The sequence below is a fragment of the Homo sapiens genome, chromosome 13 (genome assembly GCF_000001405.40).
Source record: "Homo sapiens chromosome 13, GRCh38.p14 Primary Assembly".
In the NCBI taxonomy this organism is placed as follows: domain Eukaryota; kingdom Metazoa; phylum Chordata; class Mammalia; order Primates; family Hominidae; genus Homo; species Homo sapiens.
In genome coordinates this window covers 108,261,009-108,273,533 of record NC_000013.11, presented here as the reverse complement: position 1 = coordinate 108,273,533, position 12,525 = coordinate 108,261,009, and the positions used below count along the sequence as shown (strand labels likewise).

Here is a 12,525-nt window from a genome sequence, read left to right as displayed (position 1 = left end):
TTTATGCAGTGATGACTTAATACTGCATGTTTATGTTTGTTTCCATTTCTCTAGACTACAAAGGGCGCTATGTACAGTCTGTTTGTATGCATATGTTTTGAGAATTTTTAACTTTTGTGTATATTTTATGATAGTAATAAGAAAATAGACCAGTATCTACATATATTTTATACATTCATGACATGGCTAATTAATCTTAATATTTTCAACATTTCAAAGATACACAGTTCTTCCATGAGTTTTTTCAAATTATCACAAATCTACAGATAATTTTCCAATAGGTTTATTGAAAAAAAAAATCCACCTGTAAGTGTATCCATGCTGTTAAAACTTGTGTTGTTCAAGGCTCAACTGTGTGCAATATATACCTATATGCACACTGTATTAAGGTTTATTAAAAAGTCTAGGGCAAACCATGAAATAATAATAGTAGCTACTTCTGGGCTGTGGAAATCTGGGCAAATTTTTTTTCACTTTGTTAGAATCTACAAATTGCAAATTATTTGGTGAAAGATTCTCATCAGTATACTATTCCTGGATGCCATTAAAACACAAATACATAAAAGTATTAATAGGAGAATTTTGGGAAAATGTGACCCAAGAAGTTATTTCTTTCCTACTCTATTATTCTTTTCTTCTTAAATCTGCTGAAATGAGTCTACATCTTTTTTTTTAATTGTAAAGTTAAAGTTTATTTTTAAAACTAATATTTAGAAACGGGGATATTAGCAGTGAAGGTTAAGGAGATTGAAGGATCCTGACCCTACTAGTTATTGAAGCCTCTTATAATACAAATTACCTTAAAAATATTCTTTAAAGCATATAAATAGAATAATCAATTAAAAAAAAGAGTCTCAAATAGATTCAACTCTTATGAGGAACTTAATAAAACACAGTAAGCTTTTCAACACCAAGGAGTTAAAAAGAACTATTTAATACATTTGGTTGAGATACCAGTTAGAAAGGAAAAAAGAGAGAGGGGGAAGTTAAAGCCAATGTGAGATGATTCATCAAAATAAACAACAGAAGGACTAATGAGTTAAAACAAAACACTCAACTATGAAAAAGTCAAAGTGGCAGGGAGTCAACTACTTAAGAAAACATGAACAAATGTATTTTTAGCTTTAATATTAGGGAAAATTTTTTAAAGATTATCACTTTACTATAGAGAAATGCAAAATGTTCAAGTAAAAAAAGAAGCAAAACTGTTAAAATATTTACATCAAAATTTTGATCAATTATCAATATGTCTAATTAGGAAGAGCTTATCCAAAATTATAAAAACATGGGACAGACAAGTGGAGACAGTTATAAATAAAAATTAGCAAAAGATAAAATTATAAATAATCAAAATATGCAGAAAGTTTATTCATATTAGTAAACAAGCAACACATCAAAATAAATGTGAGATATTGTTTTACAACTACTAAACTAGTCAAAATACACTTTAAAAATAACATGCAAGCAAGAATGTGGAGAACCGGTACACCACATTTTTGATTGCATGTATAACTCATTTTGAAAACAATATGGCAGTCGGAAGCAAGGGTGATGAAGATGTTTCTTCTCCCTAGCTCAGATATTCCACTATATGAATTTTATATTGAATATATAATTTCACAGAAATAAAAGAGTTCTGTGCAAAACTTTTGCATGTTGTATTATAGCAAAGAGAATGGAAATAACCATTTAAAACAATTGTTAGATAAATTAATACAGATATATGAAAAATACTTAGAAATAGGAAAAATCCTTATTGTATAAGTCAAAACAAAAAATATTATAGTATATATTCCGTATTATTTTCAATTATGTAGGAAATATAGACTATAAAATGCAGACGATAAAAATAATTGATGTGTTAAAATAATAAAAATGTGCATGTTTCCTAATTTAAAAATGTTTAAGCCCAGTTATTCCTGATAACTAGTATAAAGATACAATAACCAGATACCAAAAATTATGGTTTTATAAAATAAGAAACAATTTTTTATGAATAAAGCATATAGTCAAAAAATAAGTTTATAGTCAGGGTACCTCATGCGTGTGTGTGTGTGTGTGTGTGTGTGTGTGTGTGTGTGTGTGTGTGATAGAAGGGTCCCTGGTCTATCTCTCACTACATTTCTTATGCAATTCTCTTCAGAAGTGAAAATATACATAAATTATTGCATGTATTCTGTGGACTTCATAGCGTCACTGTGAAGGTTAAACGAAATAGTATGTTTGAAAATGCCTATTCTGGTCTATAGCTGTACGATACGTTCCAGGTGCTCAAAAAATATTCTTTCAATATATTTAATAAAAGGACAATAATATTAAGAATTTGTTATATTATAACTTTAATAAATGTATACAAAGATTCTTTTTTTCACCTTCAAATGAAAGAACTAGAATCGATCATTTTGGTAGGCCCCACCAACTCTGTAAAGTTCCGTGGAATGAGCAGAACATGAAGAAAGTCAGAAATCAGTAAAGGACGATTATAAGAAGACGATAAATGCATGGATCCCCTGGAAAAGCGTACCTTAAAGAGAAGCTTTAAAATCTGTGTGTGTGTCTGTGCGTGTGTGTGTGTGTGTGTGTAAAATAACCTTTTTAACAAATAAACAAAATTAAAGTACAACATACAGGGCCTTTCATTACAACCTTCACCTGGTTTCACAACATGTAATGTACATTCAGAAAACAGATGTCTTTAACTTTCTATGACCCAGGTAGTAAGCAAAGTCTAATTCTAACATGTAATGCTTTTTTTTATTTTTCTGGAGTGATGAATAATGCTTCTCACATGGGAGGGCATTATCTACCTGAGGAAACACATATGGCCCTTTTATCTCCTCTATGCTTAATGCACAGATAAATACTTACACACGCACAGAGAAATGCTTCCAGTCACACGATCTGCTCATTGGAGGAAAAAGCACACCCATGCAGCCTGTTACATTTGCCAGCGCTGGGGCTTTGCTCTAAAGCAATGTCTGCTTTGGATGGCAAATTTCATAGTCTCTATTTAATAGGTTCATAGAGGGGATACTCACCTCCAGCTCCCCCAGACTGGATGTTATTCTCTAATCCCTGACTCCTAAAAGTGTCTGTGCCCAAAACATACCTGTTTCTTCTGGACCCTGAACGGCACGCTTATTTCTGCTGTTCTGACTGGAGTTGCCTTCTCCTGGAGCTGGTGGTTCAAAGATCTATGAACAGAAAAACTTCAAGTTATTAGAAAGACAGCTGAGGCGAGGGAGAGGCAGCAGTGTAGGCAGGATCTTGCCTGCGTCTTGCAGCTGCTGCAAACTCACTTTCAGTCCCGCGGTGACAGCTGGAGCTTCCTCCAGGCCGGCCTTGGGGGCTCCTGCTCCTGCTGGCAGCTTCTCCGCGTGGTGGCCCTGCAGCTCTGCCCGGAGGCTGGCCAGGTCCCCTTGCAGGGCGGCCACCTGGTAGAAAGACACCACCGTGAGGCAGCAAGACAGCAGTGCCAGCAGCAAGGTTGCAGCCAGCAGCTTTCCGTCTTTGGAGGATCGGACAGAGGGGCTTTCCTTCCGTGGGAGGATGGAAACACACTCCTTCAGTTTCATTTCTTCTCTTTTCTTAAGGCAAGAAGTAAGGCGTGACTGCTCCCTTTCTGTGGAGTCATCCATATCACTACTTGAACTTTGAAGGTTGGGGCCTTTAGAATAAGTGACCACAGGGAATGGATCATTTCCTGTTATCTGTGTTTGTTGATGTCCTGCGTGCACTACATGGCAGGGCTTGGCTCACCCCTCAGGAGAGTTATCCTGAATTTTCTCCTTTCTGCCTTTCTGCATCTCTACCCCTACTGTACAGTAGGTTTGCTGGCATTTACCCTCCGATTGGATTGCTCAATCTGTCTTCCTCATTTCACTTTCAGTTTTTGTAAGAATTTCAAAGTCTTCTCATAACACTCATGCTCAAGTAGATTTAAAACCCCTTAAATCTGCTGAGGAAACTTGGAGTTTGGATTGGCACAGTCAAGGGAAAGCTTTTAAGATATGCTCAGGTCTGAGAAGCCCACCCTTAAGTGTAGCAAGGGAACTCTGTCTGCTTGGGACCACATGGCTTCATAAGGAAGGGGGAAAAGCAGCTGAAAGTTCCTGCTGCTGTCATAAAAATAATTAATGTGAAGGTCAGATAAGCTAAGTGTTTTAGCATTGAATTGTTCTTAGCTAGAGAGTGATTTATTAACAGTCTTCAATTATGAAATAAAATGGAGAATCCTTGAAGGAAGTGTGGAAGTAAGTCCACTGGGAATTATTCATATTATTATACTAATAATGTCATAAAAAGAATGAGAGTAAATGTTACAGACGTATTTAGGTTAGATATCTGAAGGATTCTCTAAATATAAGTGAATATATTTTTAAGGAAAACATGCATAAACTTTTTCCTTCTGGGACTCATCACTGAAACTCAATCATGCATATGAACAGCCTGTCCCAAGGAGCCTGGTCTCAGCTTTTCTGCTCAGACTTCTGAGGCTTTAAGTCCCCGCTCAATATGATACTAGTTGAGGAGAATCAGCCTTGCCTCCAGCTCCAAATGCCTGACTGCTACCATTAACCACTCTCAAGTAGCTTGTCTACAACTCCCATGTTGACTGTGCCACAGCCTAACAGGTCGGTGTACAAGAGGTCCTTGATCACACAAGAGCCACCTTAGCTTTGGATTTTTCTGTTGTTGACTTGGTGGACCTGTGAGGACTGTTGCATTCATTCTAGTCCTGCCTTATCCTGATGGCTGGTTCCTGGACATTCCCCAGTTTTTCACTGCTTTGCCCCAGCATTGAAATATTGATTCATCTTTCAACAAACGTTACTGAGCACTTACCAAGCCCTGGGTAGTCACTACTCCCCTGTGGACTAAGAATAGTGAGCTTTAGTTCTGTCTCACTCTACATTTCCACACAGTCTTAAGTAAGAAGTTTACAGAAATGATATAGTGCAAAGTGGAGAACTCCAGACCCAGGCTTCTAGACTGCAAATCCTGCCTCACCCTCGCTCTCCTTATGCAAAGTACATAATCTCTCTGTGATTCCATTTCCTCACCTGTGAATTCGTATGACGATATTAACTGTCCCTGGGATACATAATGAGGCTTACAAGAATGTGGAAACAAATTACATTTTGGATGCTTCCATTTAAAAAAAAATTATTTCCACAGGTTTTTGGGGAATAGGTGGTATTTGATTACATGGTTAAGTTATTTAGTGGTGATTTGTGAGATTTTGGTGCACCCATCACCCGAGCAGTGTACACATTGAACCCATTTTTTAGTCTTTTATTCCTCACCCCCCTCCCACCCTTTCCCCTGAGTCCCTAAAGTCCATTAGATCATTCCTATGTCTTTGCATCTTTGTAATTTAGCTCCCACTGTGAGTTAGAACATACAATGTTTGGTTTTCCATTCCTGAGTTACTTCACTTAGAATAATTGTCTCCAATCCCATCCAGGCTGATGCGAACATCATTAATTCATTCCTTTTTATGGGTGAGTAGTATTCCATCATATATATGTATCATAGTTTCTTTATCCACTCATTGATTGACGGGCATTTGGGCTGGTTCTATATTTTTGCAGTTGTGAATTGTGCTGCCATAAACATGTGTGTGCAAGTATGTTTTTCGTATAACAACTTCTTTTCCTCTGGGTAGATACCCAGTAGTGGGATTGCTGGATCAAATGGTAGTTCTACTTTTAGTTCTTTAAGGAATCTCCACACTGTTTTCCATGGTGGTTGTACTAAATGATCAGGGAAATGTAAATCAAAAGCACGGTGCAATGCTTCCATTTTTTCATTCACTTTTATTCTTTACATTCAAAGTATGAATGAAACATTTTTCAGTTACAAACAGTGCTCTAATAGATATTTTCTACAACTGTGCTTGTAACGTCTGCAAGGGTTTCCCAGCAAATGCCTGCTGAGGGAGAAGCACATCTTCACTTTTACAGGCACCACCCAGTTACCCTCTGACGAGTTCCCATTTCCTCATTGTCTTACTACAAAATGACGCAGTCAGACTTACTTGTTTTTACCATTAGGATTGTTTTTTGTTTTTTGTTTTTTTCCCTTTGCATCTGCAAGTTTCCAAGACCTTTTAAAAATAACTTGTTATTATCCTGGCCCCCAAAATAAGCTGCTCTCTAATTTTTCTTACCTATAACTCCCACAATAAGGTGACCGTGCCCCAGTCTAACAGGTACGTAGACAAGAGGTCCTCCATCAACCTTCTCAGGTGGAAGTCTTCTTTTAGAAGGATGTTTGTAAACCCTTTTGCATCAGGAATGACAGTCCAATTCTTTTCTGTCAGTTCTTGTTCCAGAACAATTAGGGTGAGTCATACGGAGTAACCTTGCCATAAAAAATGGAATTCGTATGGGAATTGTATGAAGGCCTTCTTACTGAAAGTCATTGAGATCCTTTAGATGATGTGTTTGTGTATTCTTATGATTTAAATACATGCAGAAATGAAAGGATGCAACGCAGTGCTAGAAAGCAATTTCTCTCTGCGTTTCACTCAGGGTTTCCTGTAGCCACTGCTTCTCTCCATCCATGGACATTCTCCCTCTTCTGGTGAGTCGTTCCCCTCTATATCCCTCAGAGAAAATTCTGAAGACAGGGAATGATTTGACTGCTTTAGGGAATTCCCTCTGCCTTCGTCACTGTGTTGGGCAGAGACTTTCATGCCTGAACATCTCAAAAGAGAGTCACTGGCCAGCCTGCACGCAGCCATTTTTAAACCAGTGCCGATGTTTGTTGCGGCAGTGAGCCGTGCCATGCATAAAATGGGCAAGTTCTTCTTCCACAAAGGGCAGCCATCATGTCCCTCTGGCTAGAGGGACAGCAAGCAGGGATGGCAATGTGCACATCCTCCACAGGGATCTGACAGCTGCATTTTCTCTAAAGACAGGTAGAAAACGAAGTGACATTCATGACTCTTGAATCTCTTATTAGATGAACAAAAGGAAGTCATTACTCCATAAATCAAGAATCTGTTTCCGGAAGAGGAAATGGTTTGGCAATAATTTAACAGAAATTCTGTTAAACAAGAAGCATGTTCACGTTCATTGAATAATACACCACATCACAAGTTTATTCAGGGACAAAAGGCCACTGTATCTGAGCCACAGATTGTGCAGCGATCTTATTATACATTCAGTGTTTATTGACAGTATTTAGCTGCTTTTTACACACATCTTTTTCTCAATGTAAGTGTAAAGCATTCTTCTGTCATTCAATAAACAAACTGAGATACTAGGACTTTGTGACTGACGAAACTGTTCTATCCACTCAGAAATAGGCAGATAGGATTCAAAAGAATATAACTTGTGAGTTTGTCCGGGAGTCAGAAACAGCAGAAAATAAACATTCACTCTCTGACTATGTTCTTACATTGACAACCTCAAAAATATTTTTAAAAATGAATTATAAATTTCTGGCTAAATAGTGCTATAAAGAATTACAGGTTTGAGGAATCTCTCCTTTGCCCTTTTTCTTTGAGGAAAAGCGTGTTTTCCTCAAAATCCTTTGAGGAAAAGGATTTAGACCAGTCAAGCATGGCGACAACAGCTCTTCTAGATCTGTGAATGTACTCGATCTGTAAATGTACCTAAAATTACATCTAGATAAAATTGGTATCCTAAAGCACTCAGAATATGGAAGATTTATGATATAGGTTAAGTATTGCATTTCAGGAAAATATGCTGTTTTCCAGTAGAAATATTATATATATATAAAATATTTATATATTATATATTTTATATATATATTATATATAATGGAGAGAGAGAGAGTATGTGTGTTAAGTTATTATATAGTTAAATTTGATTTGAAAGGCTAAATGTTAATCACTGTATATAATTTTTAATTTAAAAAATTTTTAATTGACACATATATATTTATGAGATACAGTGTCATGTTTTGATATATGTATACAATGTGTAATGATCAAATTAGGAAAATTAGCATATCCATCACCTTAGACATTTATCATTTCTATCTGGTGAGAACTTTGAAAATCCTGTCTTCTAGCTCTATTGAAATATATAATATATTATTGTTAACTATAGCCGCCCTACTGTACAATGGAACACTGGAAATCGTTCTTCCTATCTAACCCTGACTTTGTACCAGGTGACAAACCTCCACCCCAATACCTCCGGTAACCACTCTCCTACTCTCTACTTCAATAAAATCAACTTTGTAAGATTGCATATATAAGTGAGATTACACAGTATTTGTCTCTCTGTGCCTAGCTTATTTCACTTAATATAATGTCGTCCAGGCTCATCCAGGTGGCTACAAATGACAGGATTTTACTTTTTATGGCTGAATAGTAGGCCACTGTATTATACCACATTTTTAAAATTCATTCATCTATTGATGGGCACTTAGGTTGAGTCCATATTTTGGCTATTGTGAATAGTGCTGAATCAACATGATTCATTGATTGGATGAATGAATCCATTTCTTGGATCCATTTCTTGGATACATTGATTGCTTTCTTTTGGATATAGACCTAGTGATAGAATTGCTTAAGTATGGTAGTTCTGTTTTCAGTTTTTTGAGGAACCTCCATACTGTTTTCCATAGTGGCTGTACTCATTGACATTCTCACTAACAGTGCACCAGCGTTCCCTTTCTCCACATTCTCACCAGCTAGAGGTCACTAATGCTAAATGAAATAAGCCAAGCATAAAAAGACAAATATCACATGTTCTCATTCATATGTGGGAGCTAAAAAGGTAGGTCTTATGAATATAGAGAGTAGATAGGTGGTTACCAGAGGCCAGGAAGAGTAGGAAGAAGGGTGGAGGGATGAAGAGAGGTTGATTTATGTTAGAAAAAATAAAACCTAATGCTTGATAGATTAGTAGGGCAACTAGAGTTAGCATTAATCTGTTCTACATTTCAAAATAGCTAGAAGAGAATCATTTTAATGTTCCCACAAAACAAAAGGATAAATATTGAAGGTGATTAACTTCCCAGTTACTCTGAATTGTTCTTTTCATATTATATGATGTATCAAATTATCACATATACTCTGAAAATATGTGCATCTGTTTTGTATCAATAAAACAAATAAATTAAAATTAAATGGACTGCAAATATTTTAATGATTTATTTGAAATTTCGCTTATTGAATGTTGAGAAGAGGATGGGTTTAGGAGTGTAGGCTCTGAAGCCAGAAGCATCTGTATGCCCAATTCTGCTTCGCCATCTTAACAGAATCTTTCTTGCCCCAAATCTAGACGCTGACTTTGTTTAGATATCTATCTCTGTGGGATGCCGACATAATCTCACACTTTAGGGAAGTCCTAATCATGAAATCTACTCACGATGACTCCATCTACATCACCACTGATTGCTAAGGAGGGACAAATGAGAGAGGCTTTTTACAGTTGGTTGTGAGGTGGTCTCCTGGGGGCACTGCTAAGAAAGAGTTCCTCATTCTTAAAGAGATTGACAAGAAAGAGATGCTCTTCTTCCACTAGACATTACAAGCCTGTCTGTGATCACCGAGAACTGCCATCCTGCAACTGCCGTCAGGCCCAGACTGAAACAGTGACGGCAAGAACAGGATTCTGGAGGGAACCTGGCTCTGTAAGGACATAATTGTCCTGCTGGATTACTCAACTCTTCATGCTTGTTATTTGGATCATACTATTTCCTAACTGTTTACGCCAATGTGAGACAAGATTAGGTGTTAATTCATCCAAAGACATCCTAAATCTGCTAGTTAGATTAGCAGTTGATTAGGATCCAAAGACATACTAATTCTGCTAGTTGTAAGAATTGTATTCTTACAACCAAAGAACTTTGTATAAGAGAGTTTTAAATGTTCTTTCAGAAATTTTCCAAATGTCCACTTTTTGAAACTACGGTGTAAAGAGAAAAGGTCAACACCCACAAGCTAGAAAAACTAATTCATTTGTTAAGAAGAGTCTTGACCGGGCGCGGTGGCTCATGCCTGTAATCCCAGCACTTTGGGAGACCGAGGCGGGTGGATCACGAGGTCAGGAGATCGAGACCACGGTGAACCCCGTCTCTACTAAAAATACAAAAAATTAGCCAGGCGCGGTGGCGGGCGCCTGTAGTCCCAGCTACTTGGGAGGCTGAGGCAGGAGAATGGCGTGAACCCGGGAGGTGGAGCTTGCAGTGAGCCGAGATTGTGCCACTGCACTGCAGCCTGGGCGACAGAGCAAGACTCCATCTCAAAAAAAAAAAAAAAAAGAGTCTTACATCCAGTTTTAATATAGCTATTTTTTAATAATTTAAGCTCTTTAATATGTTAGGAATCTTAAGAAAAATTATTATTATGTGAAGATGTGTTTAATGAATCTGTCTTTTCTATGTGGAACCAAAAAAACGTAGTCAACTCTTTCAGAAAAAAAAATGCAAAATTAGAATTTGTGCATCTCCGTGTAAGAAGGGAATAATTTCAAACTAAGAAAAAGTAAGAGAGATATAGTGTATTCTGAGAAAACTGCAACATGAATGCATCTTTCTTCTCCTTTACTAACAACTGTAAATTATCTTTCTTCTCTGAGCCAAATTGCAGTAGAACTTAGAGGTAATTGGGTGTTAGCGAGGGGCTTTTTGCTCTAATTGGCCCTAGATAGAGAAAAATAATGTTTGAGGTTTATTTCTCGAGAGTATTTGCAGTACTATATGTGAGACCCAAGTCTCAATGGGTCTTAGATAGAATGGTTGAGCAGAAATCTGTGGGCCCCAGGCAGTGGCTAACATCAGCCTCACAGGAATATGCCAAGTTTCCCGGGCCTCTGAGTACCCACAAAGGGAGTAAGTGCTTGGGGTTAGTCCTCCCTGCCCCTAAAGCTGAGAGACTATCAGGGGATCACAAGAAACAAAAGCCTCCCCCAAATGCCTCAGAGTAGACTAGAAGTTTCCCTGTTAGTCCAATCCTGGCTCATAGGGTTAGACAGGACTTGATTTCCCACCTCCTGAGGCTAGACTGCCCCAGCTGAGCCATCAAATCAAACACAGGAGGTGTTGAAGAGAGAAAGCTTGAAATTGGGATATCGGGAGAGATGCAAGAAGTGGCTGGACGTATAAATAGTGGCTAGACTGCAGTGTTTTTGCATGCACAGCTGTGGTTGTGTGAAATGTGAAAATGAAGCCATTTATATATATATTTTAAAAAGATTATGGCAGAGGGTAGGGTGGAAGTAGGGAAGATATGTACAGAAAGAAATGATAAACTAAGAGTGTTCAGCTCCATGAGTGCAGAAATGTGTGGTTTCTAGCCTATTGTATCTCTAGTGCCTGGAACACTTGTCCTTCATGGATTCTGCTATTCTCTGTTAAATGCTGACTAAATAAACGTCTTCCAATGAAAATTAAAAAAAAGAGAGAGAGAGGGAGAGATAAACCATCAAAGAAGGAGAGCACAGAACATCCCAGCATACACACAACACAAAGGGATGGAGACAACTTGAATTTTAAAAACTAATAGAGGACTTAAGATTCAACTGAAGAAACTTTTTAGGAACTAAAAAATATCTCTATAGTTTTCAATTAAATAATTTAATACATGCATTGAAGAAAAGGATGGTCACTTTTGAGCACTGAGTTACTGGCCTGCAGGCTCAAATAGAAGTAAAATCTCAAAACTCAAGAGTGTTTTGCAACTCACATGCAAGAAAAATGGGAACATAAAAGGAGGGAGAGGATATAGACTAAATAGAGGCAATGACATAAAAACTTACAGGAGAAAAGAATAATGCTTCTTAATCTATGAAAGAGCTGAAACTACAGTTTGAATTAGCTTATCAAGTCCTAGGTTAAAATGCTGAGAAAATCTGTATGGGTAGCTTTTTGGAAAAGAAAAATAAGCAAGTAGGTCGGGCGCGGTGGCTCACGCCTGTAATCCCAGCACTTTGGGAGGCCGAGTTGGGCGGATCACGAGGTCAGGAGATCGAGACCATCCTGGCTAACATGGTGAAACCCCGTCTCTATTTAAAAAAATACAAAAAATTAGCCGGGCGTGGTGGCGGGCGCCTGTAGTCCCAGCTACTCAGGAGGCTGAGGCAGGAGAATGGTGTGAACGCGGGAGGCGGAGCTTGCAGTGAACAGAGATCGCGCCGCTGCACTCCAGCCTGGGCTACAGAGGGAGACTCCGAGAAAGAAAAGAAAGAAAGGAAGGGAGGACGGGAGGAAGGAAGGAAAGGATGCTGAGAAAAATCGACCCAGGTAAGGTCTGATGGTATTACTGAATATAGAAAGAGTTGTTGGGATATGATGAAAATAAAGTATATAAAATCTTGTAAAATGCATTTAAAGCTATTTTTATGAGAAAAATCATATCTTTGATGGCATGTTTTAAAAAGAAGAATGGAAAGAAATAATCTGAGCATACAGGTCACAAAGCCCTAACAAGTTAAAAGGTGAAAACAAATTAAGCTTAAAGATTGGAGTAAAAAATATAAAAGAGATTAATGAAATAAATAATAACTTTACAATAAAGAGAATTAAAAATTGGTTATTTGA

At 37.6% G+C, this 12,525-nt stretch overlaps 1 protein-coding gene across 3 annotated transcripts in view, besides 3 other annotated features; it reads right to left on the bottom strand.

Moving 5' to 3' along the window:
* The window catches only part of TNFSF13B (TNF superfamily member 13b), a 38,856-nt gene extending 34,951 nt beyond the window's left edge, over positions 1-3,905 (bottom strand). For 2 of the 3 annotated variants that reach the window (NM_001145645.2, XM_047430055.1), the window contains exons 1-2: positions 3,300-3,905; positions 3,110-3,194 (exon numbers count right to left, since the gene is read on the bottom strand). In NM_001145645.2, the coding sequence (NP_001139117.1) occupies positions 3,110-3,194; positions 3,300-3,638 (424 nt within the window). In that variant the 5' untranslated portion in view covers positions 3,639-3,905. The remainder of the gene's footprint in view (positions 1-3,109; positions 3,195-3,299) is intronic. The other variant, NM_006573.5, reaches the window with a different exon arrangement.
* Positions 2,891-3,399: an enhancer, noted in NCBI's record as "H3K4me1 hESC enhancer chr13:108922483-108922991 (GRCh37/hg19 assembly coordinates)". NCBI's record gives its function as "activates a minimal SCP1, AML or CMV promoter by ChIP-STARR-seq in primed H9 embryonic stem cells {active_cell/tissue: H9 hESC(primed)}" and the evidence as "EXISTENCE:reporter gene assay evidence [ECO:0000049][PMID:30033119]".
* Positions 2,911-2,990: a silencer, noted in NCBI's record as "silent region_5496". NCBI's record gives its function as "represses an Ori minimal core promoter by ATAC-STARR-seq in GM12878 lymphoblastoid cells {active_cell/tissue: GM12878}" and the evidence as "EXISTENCE:reporter gene assay evidence [ECO:0000049][PMID:35858748]".
* Positions 3,351-3,780: an enhancer, noted in NCBI's record as "active region_7988". NCBI's record gives its function as "activates an Ori minimal core promoter by ATAC-STARR-seq in GM12878 lymphoblastoid cells {active_cell/tissue: GM12878}" and the evidence as "EXISTENCE:reporter gene assay evidence [ECO:0000049][PMID:35858748]".